The following is an 18,106-nucleotide window of genomic DNA, read 5'->3' as shown; positions in this document are numbered from 1 at the left end:
TAATCAGGTGCACTGTCCTCCAAGTCCTTTGGACAAAGGTGTGGATGCTCCCTCTGCTCCCTTCACGGCAAGTAACAAAAGAGCGTGTGTTAGCAGTGACACTGGGGACATCCAGATGTGTGGTCATGCTCCTCATGCCAGCCTCCTCTCCAGACAAGTTAGGATCAGGATTCCATTTCTAACAAGGTGAAGGGTATTGAATTTGGACAACTGTCACATTAGATACTGAAGCATTTTAACTTTAATAAATACGAGTGGCGGGAGAATATTTCCTACCTAATATCTTAGAGACATGTATTGCTTTTCCAACCTAGAAGTACTAAGGATGTGATGAAATGAATTCATTAACAAAACACTGGTTCATTAGAAATAGAAATAATGTGTGAAGCCCAAGGTGTCCATGGGTACAGACAGATGCCTCCACACATTGCACCTTGGAGTTTGGTGAAAAGAGATAACTGAGATAAGATGAGGTCACATGACACCAATATGCCTGCTCCTGTACTTGGCTGAGCATGTCACTGCAGCTCCTCCAAGCCCTTCCCAACCAATGCTTCCACTCCTCCTGTCACTTGACTGGAGGTTGGACATGGTTGGTGGTGTGGAGACCTCAGAGTCTCCACATTGGTTCCTGCTGACCGCTCAGGCAGGTCAGTTCTGACACCCTTGCTTGTGGGTCCTGATACAGCGTTGGATGTAACTTGCTAAGACCACTCTGGGAAAATACACCTTCATAAAAATGATTGATGCTTGTGAGTTAGGCAAAAATAGCCCTTTGTGAAGAATAGCAACACACTCACCTTCAATACTATATTCCTCATGATCAGCCCCCTTTCATCTAGATCTACATATAAACAATAACTTCCTACTTTTAGTTGGTTTTATTGTAAGAATCTTCCCACAGAAAGGGATCCTTGGAGCACAATCCACAGGGACCATTGCCATTCATTCCACTGACCAATAGAAAAAAATGCCTTTGATGGCTCAGATTTATCTTCGAACTGGAAGTTATAGTCAATGTCTTTGAGAAGGGAAGAAGTGTGAAACACATTGTAAAAATTCCCTGGTTTCTGAGAGCCCGCCATATTTCTACTTTGGTTGGAAAATGGAACAGCCATTCTTCCCTAAGGAGGCCCTCTGGGTCATAGGACTCTCCATTGCCCCAAGATGGTTCTAAGTAAGTACTGCAGGGGCTGTGATCCAAATGGATCATCATTCATGTGGATCTGCTCTGTCCAGTATAGCAACCATGAGTCCCAGGGAGCTTCTGAGTCCTTAAAATGTGGGTAGTTCAAGTTAAGATGTGATGTGGGGGTAAAACACACCGGATTTCAAAAAGGTTGTAGGAAAATAACATAAAATATCTCAATATTTTTATGTTGATTACATATTGAAATAATATTTGGGTAAGCTCAGTTAAAGAAAATATAGTACGAAAGTTGCTTCCACCCGTTCTTTATTACTTTTAAAATGTGGCTACTGAAAAATTTTAAAGGCATTGAAATTATATTCCTAGTAGACTCCTCAGCACCAGAGAATTCCTACTGCATTGGAAATCACTGCAAGTATGAGTTACTTGATTCAAAAAGTACAGAGAACTTTCTGGAGTCTTAGGGAGATGTCAGTGCTTTACCTTAAAGCACAGTGACAGGCCCACAGGCTGTTGTTAAAGAACAGGGTCTCTGGGACTGGAAGACTCAGGTTCTGCTCCTGGGTCAGGCACTTTCTAGTTCTGACATCGGGCAAAGTCCTTTTCCTTTCTTTGCCTTAGCTTTCCCATGTGTCAAAATCTGTATCACAGATTCTCCAACTGGAAATGGAGAGATAATGACAATATTTGGCTCATGGAGTAGTTCGTATTGAGTGATTTAATAAATATGAATTGTTTTGAAGAGTGCTTGATATGTATTAAACACATAAGAATGAATAATTAAACATTATTCCTTCTCCTATTTCAACCCTAATCATTATCCTTATTCTTATGATAGTACAAAGGTAGTAAAGATAGAAGCAGATAACTTAGGAAAACAGAAAAGTTTTGAGTTGGGACATTTGACACAACCCTTCCTTGCAACACTAAATGCACATGTACACATATGTACACACATACACACATGCACAATCTACATGGCTCACACACGGCACAAATTGTGCCCAACCTTGCAGCCTACTGTCCTGTTTAGTAGGCTTTCTGTTGCAGGGACCAAGACTGGTTCTCAGAGACATCACTAGGATGTGTCCTAGTAGGACTACAGCAAAATCCCTTTGTTGTGTCCAGGCGCTGTGATGCATGTTACTCCCCCAGTTGCTTCTCTAGAGCTGGCCTGGCTTGTGACTTCCTGGTTCTATGAGAAGGCACCCAGTTCCACAGAAACTGTCAAGATGATCTGCACAAATTTGGCAATCAGTTTGTGATCTGTGACTGTTCACGGTAGGCAGTGTAGAGGCCTGAATGGGCAGGTGAGGATTGCTGGTCAATAGGGCAGTGCTGGTGCCACCGAGGAGAAGAGGCCCTGGGAGCAGAAAGCAGGGGCACCTCACACTATTTACTCCAGGTTATTCCATTGAGGCACAAGGGGGTGTTTAATGGGCTCTTAGGATGCAAAGTTCATAGCAGAGCTGAGCTAGGCTTAGGACAACCAAAAACTGTCCCTGGGGGAGAGAAACTGATAAGCTTAGTGTCCCAGGAAGACTTGGTCAGGGAGGCAGCTGCACTGAGCCCCGTGCACTGAAGAAGGGGTCTTGCCTCACTTACAGCCCGGCTGGGAGCCCATGGGAGAAACTCTTACCCACATATCAGAGATTTGCTCACTCTGGTGATGGTCAGAGAGCATGGGTGGATCCTGGACATTCAGGGAATATTGTCAGCTGGTGGCTAATATAACTCGTAACCCACCGTGGTTTGATTCTGTGGAACCAGCATGGGCATCTACTTGGGGTGATTGGGAAGGTGAAGGAGTCCTTCTTTAAAAAGCAGAGGATGATGTCTCCCATGTCAGCATGCAAAGGATGAGAAGGACAGCCAGAAAACATGTCCCTCAAGGTGGATGAAAGAGACGTCATTTTTCAGAGGGCCTGGGGTCCTTCTGGGCTGTCAGGTAATGCCCCACCTGAGAGGTTGGTGGTGCACATCCCACCTGCAGAGCCCCAAGGAGAGGCCTGAGTCATGGCAGACACACTGTTAGGAATTTGAATTTCAGTCCCCTCAAATTTGTATAATGAAGTCCTCACTGCAAGGACCTCAGAGTGGGATTTTATATTTAAATAGGGTGATTACAGTTGAAATTAGTTAAGAAAAGGTCATACTGCAGCAGAGTACGTACCCAATCCAACACGACTCATGTCCTTATAAAAAGGGGAAACTGTGACACAGACACGCACATGAGGAATACTCCATTTGAATGTGAGGCAGAGATTGGGGTGATTTCCCTCCATGGCAGGGAACAGCAAACACCTCCGCAGCCAGCAGAAGCTGGGAGAGGCATGGAACAGATTCTCCAGTGCTCAGAAGGAGCCAACCCTGTAGATACCTTCATCTTAGATTCTAACATCATCTGCAGAATAGTGAGAAAATACATTTGTGTTCTTTGAGCCATAGGGCTGTGCTACTTTGCTATGGCAGCCCTGGCAAAATAATACAGACACCCCTAGGATCTCTGTGTTCAGGGCACCTCCAGTAGGGCTGGGCTCCTTGTAGATGCTTTGGTCTCTGTTATCCACAATCCCCTGGTGAGGAGCCTTCCCATCCTGTGTTTTCTTCCCCTAAAGTGTCTGAATTTTGTTTTCAAGGAGCCTGTCGCAGCCCTCTAGGCAGCAAACAGTGTCTCCAGTGACCTTAGACCCGTCTCTCCAATGTCTTCCCCCTCTGGGTGCTGCTGGGATCTCTAACCAGACTCAGAAGCCACTCTCCAGCTCCTGCCGGTCAGTGGAAGAATGAGGCCCTGGGCAGGGAGAGATGGCCAAAGATCCCTGGGCCAGAAAACCTTAAACACCCTTCAGATGAGCTCAGCTGCCCCTTCCCACCCGCTTACTACATCACTCTCCCGTGGATGAAGTTGTAGCCCCTGGTTCTGCAAACCCCTCTGCTTTCCTCTCTGGTTGACGTCACATTGAAACAGTTTCTGAGACATTGGAAAAGATGGCAGTAAAATGCCCAGGGATGCTCTCCTCAGTTCCTAGAACTCGATTTTAAGTCACTAAGTCTTTCTTGTCCCTAAACTTCTCAAACTCTCTGCACTGCAGTTTCTCCATCTGAGGTCCAATTTTCATGAATGACATCAGCAATAATTGCTGCCAACTCATGAGCAGCTAGGGTGTGTCAGGCTCTGTGTTAAACACTTTGTAAATATGATCATTAAACTCCTGCAGTATTTTTAGGAAAGAACTTGCTTTCTGTTTCCAATTGATTTCTGCACACACCGGCTCATCTTCACCTTCTGTCAGGAGTGGAAGCAGTTTGAGGTCTTCACTGGATGCAGATGCCCACTGTTGAACTTTACAGACATCAGAAGCATGACCCAAATAAACCTTTGCTTCTTTACAAATTACCCAACTTCAGATATTCCTTTTTAGTAAAAGGGACTGAGACACATTAGTGGAGGAGAAATAGGTCACTTATGCTTCTCAGAAGGTGCGTTATGTAGGTGAGTTTCAGCTGTGCATGAGTGAGGAGGGTGCATAGGAGCTAAGCCACCCAAAGTGTGTTCCTTGGAGGACCAGCATCAATCAACCTCAACTGGAGGCTATTTGCCATGGAGAATCTGGGGCCCCATTCAAACCTGCAAAGACTGCATCTGCAGCTTAACCAAACCCTATATGGTTTTTGTGTACCCATTGAAATTTCATATGCTCTGGGCTTAGCCACAATGGAAAATCTCACTTCCTCTGCTTTTGACAGCAAGGTCTTGTCTCCCTGATGTGCTTCCTGGGCCACCTGGGTTTTGTGGTTGACTGTCCTGCCCTCATTTAACTGAGCTGGATTCAGGTGCTACATGCTGTCATGATGCACAAGAAAGTTTTAAGAACAGATGTTTTTACAATCCACGTGGGTGGTATAGGGAGGAGACAATGCCCCAGTGAGTTGTCGAGAGAGAAACAGATGGTTCATGTCATTTGCCTTGTTTCCATTCAGCTCCAGTTATTCTGGACTTTGTTTATTTCTCAGACCTATTGAGCCATCTTCTGTGTTCAAGCGTCTATGAGTTTTTAAGTGAAACTTTTTCTGTGTGTAACTCACCTCCTTATCCAATACCTACCTAAATCCTAGTTATCCTTTCAGATGTCTGTACTTACCACTTGCCAAGGAAGTGGTCACTGACCACCAAGTCTCTGACACCAAATTACAATCTTTTAGCATTTATGGCTAAGTATATTCATGGTTGGACATGACATATCCAGTTTGCATGAAGTAGCACCCCATCCAGTAGCACCACAAATCGTGCCTTTTATGATGCTTTAACAGGAATGGGAAAACAACAGGAAGTCCTGTCTGCGTACATGAAAACATTTGATGTGACTGTTGAAATAACCATGTGGTTTTATTCTTTAATAGGGAGCATTAAAATAATTAATTTCCATAGGTTAAGAATCCCTTGAATATTGGGGATGAATACTAGTTAGTTATGGTGTTTAATCCTTTTTATATTTTGCTAGTATTTTGTTGAAGTGTGGTTGTTTTGCATCTGTTTTCATAGAGGCTGTTGTGCTCCAGTTCACTTTTCATGTCTTTTGTTTTTGTATCAGCATACTTCTGGCCTCATAGAATGAGCTGCTCATGTTCCCCTTTCTTATATTTTTGGAAGGGTTTATGAATAATTATTATTAATTCCTTAAACAGTTCATAATATTCATCAATGAAACCCTTCATGCCTGGGCCGTTCTTTGTGGGAGGTTTCAATGACTAATTTAAACTCTTGTTATAGTGTTAATCAGACTTTCTATACCTCCTTGAGCCAGTTTAGTAGTTTTTATGTTTTTAGGGATTTTTTCTTTTCATCTAATTTTTGGTATGCAGCTTTTCACAGTGTTCTCATATAATACCTTTTATTTTTCAATATCAGTGTTCAGAGGATGATATCATTGTTTATTCCTTCCATATCTCATGCTGGAAGATGAACTCCACTGTAGGAGGTGGGCCTAGTAGGAGGTGTTTGGGTCATGAGGGCTGACCCTTCATGATTGGCTTGCTGCTGTCCTCATAATAACGAATGAATTCTAACCACTAGTTTAAACAAGATCTGGTTGTTTAAAAGAGTGTGGCACTTCCCCACTCTTCTCTCTCTTTCTCTTTCTTTCTTTTTTTCTTTCTCTCTTTCTTTCTTTCTCTCTTTCTTCTTTCACTCTCTCTCTCTCCCTCCTTCCTCCTCCCTCCCTCTCTCCTTCCCTGCCTCTCTCCCCCCCCGTCTCGTCTCATCTCTTCTCTCTCTCTCTCTTTCTTTCTTCCTCTCTCTCTCTCTTCCTTCCTTCCTCTTCCTTTTGTTTTGTTTCTTTCCTTTCCTTTTTTGCTTCTTTCCTTCTTTCTTTCTTCCCTCCTTCCCTCTCTTCCTTTCCTTTCCTTTCTCTCTTTCTTCTTTTTGTTTCTCTTGCCATGTGACATGCCTGGTTTCACTTTACCTTCCACCATTTTTGTAAGCTTCCTAAGGGCCTGACCAGAAGCAGATGCTGGCACCATACTTCCTATACAGCCTGCAGAACAGTGATCCAATTAAACCTCTTTTCCTTATACATTACCCAGCCTCAGGTACATCTTTATAGCGGTGCTATAAAGGTGCTATAAAAATGCAAGAATGAAAGAACACAGAAAATTGGTACCAAAAGTAGATTGTTGATGTAAGGATAATGCAAATGTGAAAGCAGCTTTGGAACTGGGTAAAAAGTACAGGTTTGAAGAGCTTAGAGGGCTCAGAAGAAGACAGACAGATGAGGGAAAGTTTGGAGCTTCCTGGGGACTGGTCAGCTGGTTGTGACCAAGATGCTGATAGAGATACGGACAGTGAAGTCCAGGCTGCTGAGGTCTCAGATGGAATGAGATAGTTATTGGGAACTGGAGCAAAGTTCACCCTTGTGATGCCTTAGTAAAAAGCTTGGCTGAATTCTTTTCATGCCCTAGAGATCTGTGGAAGTTTGAAATTTAATTACTGCACCATTGGGTTTAGGACTTGTGTGGGGCCTGTTCTTTTGGTTGTTTTCTCCCTTTTGGAATGGTAATGTTTACCCAAGGCCTGTACCACCATTGCATCTTAGGTGTAAATAACTTGTTTAGATTCTACAGGCTCATAGGTGACAGGAGGTTAGTCTCAGATGAGACTTAGGATGTTAAACTTGATGCTGGAACGACTTAGAACTTTGGGGGATTATTGAGAAGGGATTATTGCATTTTGCAATGTGAGAAAGGCATGAGATTTGGTGGGCCAGGGGTGGAATTATATACTTTTAATATTTGTCCCATCCAAATCTTATGTTGAAATGTAGCTGCCAGTGTTGAGGTGGGCCTAGTGGGAGGTGTTTGGGTCATGGGGCCACGTGGATCCTTCGTGAATAAATTGGTGCTGCCCTCATGACAATGAGTTGTTGCTCCCAGTTCATGTGAGACTGGTTGTTTAAAAGAGTGTGGCACTTTCCACCTCTCTCTCTCCTACTCTCACCATGTGACATGCCTGCTCCTCATTCACATTCCACCATAATTGTAAGCTTCTTGAGTCCCTCACCAGCAGCAGATACTGGCACCAGATTTCCTGTAGAGCCTGCATAACCATGAGCCAATTAAACCTCTTTTCTTTATGGATTACCCAAGCTCAGGTACTTCTTTATAGCAATACAAGAGTGAAGTAACACAAAGAATATACTTTATAGATTTTCTATTTTTTTAAGGTACTCATTTTTTTTTTGCAGGTTCTACCCTGGAGAGTGTTCCATATGCACTTGAGATTATTATGTATTCTGCTGTGTTGGATGGACTGTTCTATAGTTGTCTATTAAGTCTAGTTGTTTTGTAATGTAATTTAAGTCGTTTATATCTATGTTTATTTACCATTTCTATATGTTTTTATGTAGTTACTATATTTGATGTTTTTGTTTTCTTTATTCAGAGTCACATCTTTAGTATGATTTTCTATCTGAGAAGTGTTCTTTATTATTTTCTATAGTGTGTGTCTGCAGGTCATGAATAGTGCAAGTATATTTATGGTTAAAACCATTTTATTTTGCCTTCCCTTCTGAAAGATATTTTCACTGAGTAAAGAATTCAGAATTGACAGTTTTTTTTAATTTAAAGAACATGTTTTACTGATACATTATAATTGTATATGTTTATGGGGTATACGTGCTATTTTGATGCATGAATACAGTATGTAAGGATCGAATTAGTGTTTAGGATATCCATCACCTTGAGCATTTGTCATTTCTATATGTTGGGAATATTTCAAATCTTCTATGTATTTTGAAATGTACAATAAATTATGTTAACTATGTTCACTCTGCTGTGTGATATACAACAATAGACCTTATTGCTTTTATGTAACCGTATGTTTGTGCCCATTGACCAACTACCCCTCATCCCCACAACCCCTAACCCTTCCCAGCCTCTCTGGTAACTATTAATCTACACTATACCTCCATGAGATCAGCTTTTTTTAGCTCCCACATGAGAGAGAACATGTGACATTTGTTTTTCTGTGCTTGGCTAATTTCACTTAACATAATGACCTCCAGTTCCATCATGTTGCTGCAGAGGATAAGATTTCATTCTTTTGTTTATGACTGGAAAGTATTTCATCGTGTATGCATGCCACATTTTCCTTATGCATTCATCTGTTGATGAAAACAGGTTGATTCTATAGCTTTGCTATTATGAATAGTGCTGCAGTAAACGTGGGAGTGCAGGAATTCCTTAGATATACTGACGTTTTTTCCTGTGATTAAATACCCAGTAGTGGGATTATTGCATTGTATGATGATAGTCTATTTTTAGTGTTTCTGAAACACTATCATGTTTTTCATAATGGCCGTATTAATTTAAAATTTACCTTCTCACCAACAGTATATAACAGTGTATAAGAGTTCCTTTACACTGCGTTCTTGCCAGAATGTGTTATGTTTTGTCTTTTTGATATTAGTCACTCTAGCTGGGGTGAGATGATGTCTCACTGTGATTTTGATTCGCATTGCCCTGATGATTAGTGATGTTGAGCATTTTAAAAAATACACCCTTTGGCCATTTGTATGTTTCTTTTGAGGGATGTCTATTCAAATTCTTTGACCTCTTTTTAATGGTATTATTTGGCATTTTTTTTTTTTGCTGTTGAATTGTTTTGCTTTCTTGTCTTATTGTCTTATTCTGTATGTGAATCCATTGCCAGATGAACAGTTTGTAAATATTTTCTCCTGTTCTACAAGTTGTCTCTTTACTTTGCTTATTGTTTTCTTTGCTGAGCAGAAACTTTTAGTTTAATGTAGCTCCATTGGTCTATGTTTGTTTTTGTCGCCTGTGCTTTTGAAAGCTTAGGTATAAAATCTTTGTCTACACATAAGTCCGGAAGCATTTTCCCTATTTTCCCTGTGTTTTCTTCTAGTAGTTTAGTAGTGTCAAGTTTTACATTTAAGTCTTTAATCCAGTTTGAATTCACTTTTGTATGTGGTGAGAGATCGAGGTCTATTTTAATTCTTGTGCCTGTGAATGTCCAGTTTTCTCAGCAGCACCAAGAAGGCTGTCTTTTAACCAATGTATGTTATTGGTGCCTTTGACAAAAACCAGTTGTCTGTAAATATGTGGATTATTTCTGTGTTTCCTATTCTGTTACACTGGTCTGTGTCTGTTTTATACTATAAAACAGTATAGTATAATTTGGGTTACTATATCCTTGTAGCATATTTTGAAAACAAGTGGTGTGACACCTGCAGCTTTATTCTTTTTGCTCACTATTGCTTTGGCTATTCAGTGTCTTTTGTAATTCCATATAAATTTCAAGATTGATTTTTTTTTTCTATTTCTGTGAAGAATGACATCGGTGTTTTGATAGGGATTACACTGAATATGTACAATGCTGTGCGTAGTAAGTTTTAAAAAGTTTTATGAATGTACCTCCACTGCCTTCTTGCTTGTATTGTTTCTAATGGGAAAGCTACTCTCATCATTATGGTGTTCACCTGCATCAAACATGTCTTTTCTCTCTGGCTGCTTTTAAGAGCATTTCTCCATCACAGTTTTTTTTTGTTTTTGTTTTTGTTTTTTTTTTTTTTGCAATTTGATTATGGCGGGTGTTGATGTTTTCTTTATGTGTGTGTTTTTTTGTGTATATGATGTCTGTGTGTTTGTGTTTGTGTGTGGGTGTCTGGGTTGTGTTAAACTATGTGAAATCATAAGTTTATAGTTTTCACCAAATTTTGCACGTTTTTCCTTATTTCTTTAAGTGGTTTTTGTACCCTCCCTCTCCCTCCACCAATCTTGTCTCCTTTAGTTCATTTAATTATACAATTAAGGCTCCTTGAAGATGTCGTAAAACTCATTGATGCTCAGTGTAATTTTTTATCTTCTCTTTTTTGGTGTTTCATTTTGAAGAGCTTCATTGTTATATCTTCAGGTTCAGTAATCTATTATTTTGCGGGAGCTAATCTACAATTATTCTCAGACATTTTTTTTTTGAGACGGTGTCATTCTATCACCCAAGCCAAAGTTCAGCGGCATGATCACAGGTCACTGCCATCCTGACCTACAGAGCTCAAGCAATTCTTCCACCACTTCCTAAGTAGCTAGGACCATGGGTGTGCACCATGCATCTATCTGATTTTGTTATTTTTTTGTAGAGACAGGGTCTCCCTGTGTCACCCAGGCTGTTCTCAAACTCCTGGGCTCAAATAATCCTTCTACCATGATCTCCCAAAATGCTGAGATTACAGGCATTAGCCACCATGCCTGGCCCTTATTTATTTATGTATTTATTTTTATCGCGGACATTTTAGAGGTAATTTCTGTAAGTTCAACTTTGATCTTTTTATGTCTACCGTGTCTCCACTTAACATGTTCAATCAATCCCGTACCCTCTTGAGCAAGTGGAAGATAGTTATAAGTATCGCTTTTGTATTCTTCCTACAAAGTCTATCATCTGTGCAATTTCAGGGAGACTTTGGACTGATGAACTTTTCTGCTTTTTATAGCATGTATTTTCTTGGTTCTTGCAAGGAAATCTGATAGGTGCTAGACATTTTGAGTTTTTCCTTGTTGGATTTAGAATATACTTGCACTTCTCTGTCTATTTGGTCTTTTATTCTTGGATTTAGTATAATTACTCGGAAACTTGGTACTTTTTAAAACTTGCTTTTTAACTTACTTAGTTGAGACCAGACCAGCCTATTGTCTAGGCTGACATTTTCTCCAGGACTGAGGCAAAGCTGTTCCGAGGATTCGACCTCATGCTCCTTAACTCAGGCCTTTCCTCTGTGACTGTAGGAACAAGCAGGATTCATATTTTGTGTTTGTGTGTGTGTGTGTGTGTGTGTGTGTGTGTGAGAGAGAGAGAGAGAGAGAGAGAGAAAGAATGCTCTGTGGAGTGTTCCCGCGAGTGTCTTTGGACTGCTGTTTGTCTGAAAATGGAGTTTCCGTCCACACATGTGCTGCTTGATGCTTATTAATATTTGAAGACTCCAGAGTTCTCTCTTTGTACAACTTGCTTTTCTTTGATACTCTTCTCTCTATATTGTTTTCTTGTTGTTGTTTAGTTTTTAATTTTTGGGTTTCTTGGAAAGTTACTCTGAGAGGTTGAATTCCATGCAGTAGGGTTCGGGTATATAGTCCCAGAAAATAAGTGTGGGAGGCTCTTCTGGGAATGTGTTACAATTGAGCACTCAGCAGGAGGCACTTCAAGGTCATCCTGAATTAAAGCATGGCTTTGGAATCTAGGCATCAGGCAATCATTGCTCCCAAACCACATTATGGAGGGGGCACATCCTTGGAAGACACAGTACTCTGCACTCAATGGCATTTTCCAGTGAGAAAAAGCTGTGAGAAGCCAAGGATTCCCTGCGGCCTTGGGTAGATAGTGGGTAAATGACCCCTGATGTCACAGTTGCCATTACAATGGACTTCCCTGTTCACGACATCATGATGCCATGACAGCTGGGATCAAAGGTCTCAGTTAAAGAATGAGGAGTCCAGGGGACTAATCCAGGGCATTTTGGACCAGAGAGCTACCTTAGGTTTGGTCATTAAACAAAAGGAAATCCAGGCAACATGATTACTCAATGGTTATCTTGCTGTGACTGTCCTACCAGTCAGGTCATCTTAAGCCAATTCATACCTAGCTAAACAACACCAGGACAGCTTAGTTTTCAGCCCCAAATTTTCTCCTGACCCACCCTCTGTAGAGCCTTCCTGGATGACTAGAGTGAAAGGTGCCTCGGGGTCACACATCCAGCTGAGCTGGGCTAACCCTGCTCACGACTTTGTCCACAATACTCCTGGGGCTTAAGAAAGAGAGTGATACAGATGGTGATGGGGTTTGTGCCTCACTTCCCTATCTGTCTGTGTCACTATGAATGTGTTTTTATCTCCAGAAAAACAAAAATAGCCTCGTCTTCAACGTGAGCCCCAGTAATGGTCAGTGTGGCTGTTCCCCCTGAGCAGGAACCAGAGAATCGCTCAGTGATCTCTGAGCACAGCTTTCTATCATTGTATACAATGAGATTAGGGGTTTGGACTGACTTGTGTTGGTACCAGTGTGCATAATAGCTTTCTAAGTCCTCTCCATGGCAGGTGATCCTGGCCATCTGTCCCAAAGCCACAGACACTTCAGGCAGCTGAGTCAGCTTAGAGAAGGCCACAAAACCTGCAAGCGAGGACAGGAGAGGTGAGTCTGAAGATGAGGGTCTCATTCTCAGAGTGCCATACCCTGCATCACTGCCGTGATGAGCTGAAAGTCAGGGCCAGGCTGTTCCCTGGTGCTGTGGGGGTTGAGCCCTGGGAAGCAGCACCTGTGCAGAGAGTGAGCAGGGTGAGCAGGAAAGGGGTCCAGGCCATGGTGGAGATGCTTCAGAGTTCTGCCTCTGAGCGCACACCTGAGAAGGGGGTCTCTAGGTCTCTCTTATCATAAGAAGGGGAGACTCATCATGCAAACCTACTTCCTTATCTTATTATCTAGTTAGGTGTCTCTCCACTGAGGGGTGGATGCAGATCTCTTCTCCATTTCCCAGTGCGTCTTTCTGAGCTCCTATGTGGGCCCTGAGCCTGAGGGTTTGGTGTGGCAATTTCCCAAGTTCAGAAGATGGGACACATGGCTGTCATGAGTAGAGAGTGGACTTTACCCAAGAGGATGGGCACCAAAAAAGCATCTTCACCAGAGTGTGGTGGATACAGAGTTGAGTAAGATGTGGCTTCTGGAAACTCCCCCTAATAACATCTGTCCAGATTGGTCTGCACACAGTGGGAGATTCAGATGCATTTAGGATGAGGATGTTCCTGAAAACAGCAGGGACTGCACCAGTCAGGGAGCTCATTGTCACCCTCCCATAATTTAAAAAGCTAGGAAGAGTTGCACCCACTCAGGGACCACAACACACAAGCAAAAGGAAGCTGTCCCTGTCCTGGATGAGAAACCACAGAGCAGGTTTCCTTTGGATTTCATGGTGGGAAAAGAGAGTTGCTGAGGGAGAAGAATTCTCAAGGCTGTGCTTCAGGAAGCCCGTTGCACTGGGTGAGGAAACATCTTCAGAGCAAAAAGGGAGCCTGAGAGCCCAGGGCAGGTTTTCGTCTCAGTTCCCCAAGAACTTGGACCACTGTGGTTAAGTGGCACTGCTTGTATATGAGCAGCACTAATAATCAGCCTCGTCCTCAGCCTGGAGTCCAGAGATGGTCATGGAGGCCGTATTGCCAGACTTGGAGCCAGAGAAACGATCAGGGACCCCTGAGGGCTGAGTATTGACATTGTAGATCATGGGTTTGGGGACTGTGCCTGGGTGCTGTTGGTACCAGGAGACATAGTCATAACTCCCAACATCACTGCTGGTTCCAGTGCAGGAGATGGTGACTGACTGTCCAGGAGACCCGGACACGGAGGGAGGCTGAATCAGGGCAGACTGGGCCCAAGAGCCTGGAAAGAGGGAGAAACACACTCTAGTGAGTCAGTGCTGGGCCCAGGTGAGCCTGAGGAGCAGGAGACCAAGGATCAGCCCAAGGGTCCCCGAGGCCCCTTCCCTGGAGGCGTCACCTGTGCCCTGAGTGAGGAGGTGAGGAGGAGCAGAGCCCAGGCCATGGTGGAGACGTCCCCAGAGCGCTGCCTCCTGAGACCCCAGCACTGGGCCTGCCCCCAGCCTTGTCTTACCCTGATGCCTCAGAGGAGGGCGGGGCCTCCATGCAAATCTGCATCCTAAGCTCCTCTTCTTACCCCACCCTCACCTGGGCCTGGGCCCGTAGACTTCTGTTTCCTTGGACAGTGGGGCTCAGCCAGGGGGATTGAAACTCCTTGACTTGGATTTCCTGAGACTCAGCCCATGACAGTGCCTGGGAAATGGAGCCAGCCTTGGGGGTCCCTGTCCTTCCTGTCCTGTGGTTCACGGTTGGTCCTGGCTGTGGGGTCCCAGGATTTCCCTTCCCTTCTTTGTGGGAGAAGTGTCAGGACAGGGCCCAGAGTGGCTGGGAGACACCCCAGCTCTCCCCTCCCCAGGACCACAGGCCCCACAGGGACCCTTCAGTCCCCTTCAGCCCCCTTCAGCCCTTCTAGGGTGCCTCAGGTTGGCTAATTCCTCCCCGCTCTGTGTCTGCAGACGCCTGAAGCTGCTGCTTGGATAAACCTGGAGTTCATTTATTGGCCCTCGTAGAAATGCATTTATGGGGGCATGACAGATTTAGGACCCCAGAATGCCTCTGTCTCTTTAGGGGGACTTAGGAGGAAGGAGCTCCTAGGACCCACCCAGGGTGAAGCCCAGCAGGGACCTCCCAGGTCCAGGCATGTGCCACCCCCGCCCCCTGGTGGCCTCAGAGGGAGGATCCTGAGGCCCAGGAACCTCCCCTGAGTCATAGCTGACAGCCCCTGCCCTGTCCCTCCTGCCTTTTGGTTCCCTTCACAGCTCAATCCCAGGCCCCTGGTCCCTTCTCATCCCCTCCAGACTCCCCTGACCCAGGGTGGAGGACATCTCCCACACCAGAGCTTCAGATGCTCCTCTTGGCACTTGTTTGCTTTTCCCAGAGGAGTGTCCCACAGGGTTGGTGTCCTTGAGGCAGCTGTGGCTCAGGCTGAGGAAACCTCATACATGAAATAAATCCACCCCCAGCAGGCAGGTGGGACAGGAACATGGAATGAGGAGAAAACCAACTGGCTCCTCAAAATGTTGACAGAAAAAGTGTGACATGGAGGAGGCGGTGCTCACAAGAGCTGTGACCAGCCTCATGGGAAGCAGGGTAGGGAGGTGTCCCAGGGCCACAGGAGCTGAGGAAAGGTGCCTGGGGTTAGAATTGGGTCAGGCCTAGCACCAGGGACCCCTCCTCAGGGCGCGTGCGTCCCTCACACTGTGACCCGGGACTTGCCTTAGTCCTGCCTTTTAGTGCACGTTGAGTCCCCCTCAGCCCAGAGCCGGGCGCCTCCCTGAGGTGAAGCCTCCCCACACAGACAGTGGCTGACCCCATGTGTTCCTCAGAAACTCCTGGGTTTGGGGTAAAGACTCCATTCACGGCGACTTCTCTCTGTCAGAATAGAAACGTAAACGTTCCCTCAGGAGATGGACTAGGGGCTCTGCGGTGTGAGTGCTGGGCGGGAGGGGGGGCTGTTTTGTGTCACTGTCCCTGTTAGAAGACAGAGATTTCTAACAGCACAGGAGAGGGGGGGCCGAGGGAAGGGTGGGCTCAGGGGCTCGGGTGAGAAAGTGTGTGGTGTGGGGAGGTGACAGCTTTGCATTTGAGACTACTGTTTCTGTGTGTGTTATTTAGATATTTAAGTGCTATGTTGCTATATGAATAGTTACAAGAAAATAATGTTTCCATTTGAGATAGCACTAAAATGGAATTAGGTCAATGACCTGCTGAAATATCAGTGATGTTGATTGCGGAGCCGGTGGCCTGGATCAAAGCCCTGAGAACACTCCAGGAGCCCAGGCACTTCCTGCAAAAAGGAAATATGTGATCTTCAGGACACGCTACCTTGTCCTCTCTTCCATGTTCCGTTAGCACCAGAAGCAAACCAGAGCCCGGCCAATGCTGCCGAAGTCTCCTACCTCACTGAAACTCGCCTGGATATGTGCGTCCACACAGGGGAACAGACACAGACATCAGAAGCACTTGCTGCATCTGTCCTCACTGCAGCCCAAGCAGGAATGGAAAGTGGCAAGGTTCTCTTTTGAATCATGTTTTTTTCAAAGGTTTAGTTTTCCTTGAAATTCAAAAATCTTGTCTTTTAAAACATGAGGGCTTTCAGAGATGGGTTCACTGGTTCATGTTATGGGAAATGTCTCCAGAGGGACTGGTTGCTGTACCTATCTGCACTTTCAAAAGTCACTAATTTAGTGTCAGGTATGTTTGTAGAGCACAGGCTCTAATACAGTATATGTGGAAGGGTGCATTCTGTAACCAAGAGAGAAAATGGGAGAAAATGGGAAAGTCCTTCAATTCCCTTCACCTCTAATTCACATGGTCTGGATTGACAAGGTGCACACAGATGAGGCCATGGGCAGCTGAGACTGAGGGCTGGAGACCCCACCTTTAGAGCCACAGGTTCCTTCATCTTCCTGTTCTACCAGCAGACCTTGTCCCCTTATGTACATCAGGGGCCGGGCATCCTCAATACCATCTGTCCCTCTATGAGACTCAGTGCCCAGCAGCTAGGAACCACCTTCCCATTCAGGGTCGAGTCTGCAGTGGACTCAGCAGTGCACAAGGTCCTACCAAGCACAGGATCAGAGTCAGCAGTGCAGAGCCTGGCCTGTGGGCACAGTGTGCACAGCCCCACTGCACACCCAGCATGGCCCTACTGTGTGGAAATGGACCTGCTGTCAACAATGAGCATTGTTTTTTCTTGGGGAACTTTTTGCAAAACCTTCCACAAGTCTCTCATGACAAGTGATCTTGGCTCACTTGTCATGCTGGCTCCAGACAGCTGAGAACAGAATATGAGCAGAGGAATCTTGAGGACTCTGCCTGGAAATAAATTAACAGTTACAATAGGCATTCCTGCACAACTGGGGAAGTGTGAGCTTGGACTGGAGAGAAGAGCATTGCTTATTATTGAGAGAGAGAGAGCAGGGGAGAGAGTCCAAAAGAGCACAAGGGGATCAGTTGCTGCTATAGCGAGAGGGGAAATGGTGCTTGCTACACTATTCTTTGATTGGTATCCATTGAACAATTTCAAAATTAAACTAGGTTTACTTTCCTCCAGAGTGTGCAGTATTTTTATTATGGCAAAATGAACAATTTTTAAACCATTTCAATCATTTGTAAGTGTGCATTCAGCAACAGTAAGTACATTCAGAATGCTTTGCAACCACCACCACTTTCCATCCCCAGAGCTTTTCCACCACTCCACAAAAACACTGTGGGCCCTTTAGACAGTGACTTTAGAAACTTTGGAGCTTGGGAACAAATTGAGGAGTGTGTGGTCTGAAGGAAGTTTCCTGTAAGGATCCAAGGAGTGTCTGCACCAATCTCCCCAGTTTCTTCAAAATCTCAGGACAGTGAGGAGGAGACACCTCATCTAGGAAACCAGATGACACACAGCCCCTGTGCCTCCTCTGGGCTGGTTTGTCCCAAAGAGAAGAGAAATTCCAGTAGGAATGCACCCTCTGAGACAGCGTTCTCCTCTCCTGGAGGACTTGTAGTTATAGTTGAGGCTCTTGTGTTTGGTTTACTGAAATGATTCCTACAATTGTTGAATGGATCCTGGAAGATGGAAGTGGATTTCTACAGACGCAGTCAGCTGGTAGTTCCATCTGCCATTGCTGTGCCAGATGAAGACCCTGATAGAACACACCACCATGCATGGCTACAGGTGCACAGCAGGCACCATCAATGCAGAAACTCATTCTATTCCTCTCAGAACAGGATCAGAAACGGTGTGCATACAAGGAGTAGACAGCAGTATAGGTTTATACTTTTATTTTTTCAACTTCATTAACTCTCCCTTCTTTTTCATGA

General features: G+C 44.4%; 2 long non-coding RNA genes, 2 pseudogenes and 1 further gene across 3 annotated transcripts in view; 2 read left to right on the top strand and 3 right to left on the bottom strand.

Moving 5' to 3' along the window:
* The window catches only part of IGL (immunoglobulin lambda locus), an 896,838-nt gene that overhangs the window by 52,084 nt on the left and 826,648 nt on the right, over nucleotides 1–18,106 (bottom strand).
* LOC105372948 (uncharacterized) overlaps nucleotides 1–18,106 on the top strand; it is a 63,619-nt gene that overhangs the window by 13,770 nt on the left and 31,743 nt on the right. The gene's annotated exons all lie outside the window — the stretch shown is intronic.
* LOC124905086 (uncharacterized) lies at nucleotides 7,708–8,487 on the top strand. Its single transcript, XR_007068015.1, has 2 exons — nucleotides 7,708–7,797; nucleotides 7,891–8,487. It is a non-coding gene; the product is annotated as an uncharacterized LOC124905086 (long non-coding RNA).
* On the bottom strand, nucleotides 12,528–13,009 carry IGLV3-4 (immunoglobulin lambda variable 3-4 (pseudogene); annotated as a pseudogene). Its single transcript is given in 2 exon segments — nucleotides 12,528–12,818; nucleotides 12,964–13,009. Coding segments are annotated over 2 exon segments (337 nt in total).
* IGLV2-5 (immunoglobulin lambda variable 2-5 (pseudogene)) lies at nucleotides 13,770–14,240 on the bottom strand (annotated as a pseudogene). Its single transcript is given in 2 exon segments — nucleotides 13,770–14,078; nucleotides 14,196–14,240. Coding segments are annotated over 2 exon segments (354 nt in total).

Source organism: Homo sapiens, chromosome 22 (genome assembly GCF_000001405.40).
Source record: "Homo sapiens chromosome 22, GRCh38.p14 Primary Assembly".
NCBI lineage: Eukaryota > Metazoa > Chordata > Mammalia > Primates > Hominidae > Homo > Homo sapiens.
This window is presented reverse-complemented; position numbering and strand designations above follow the sequence as displayed.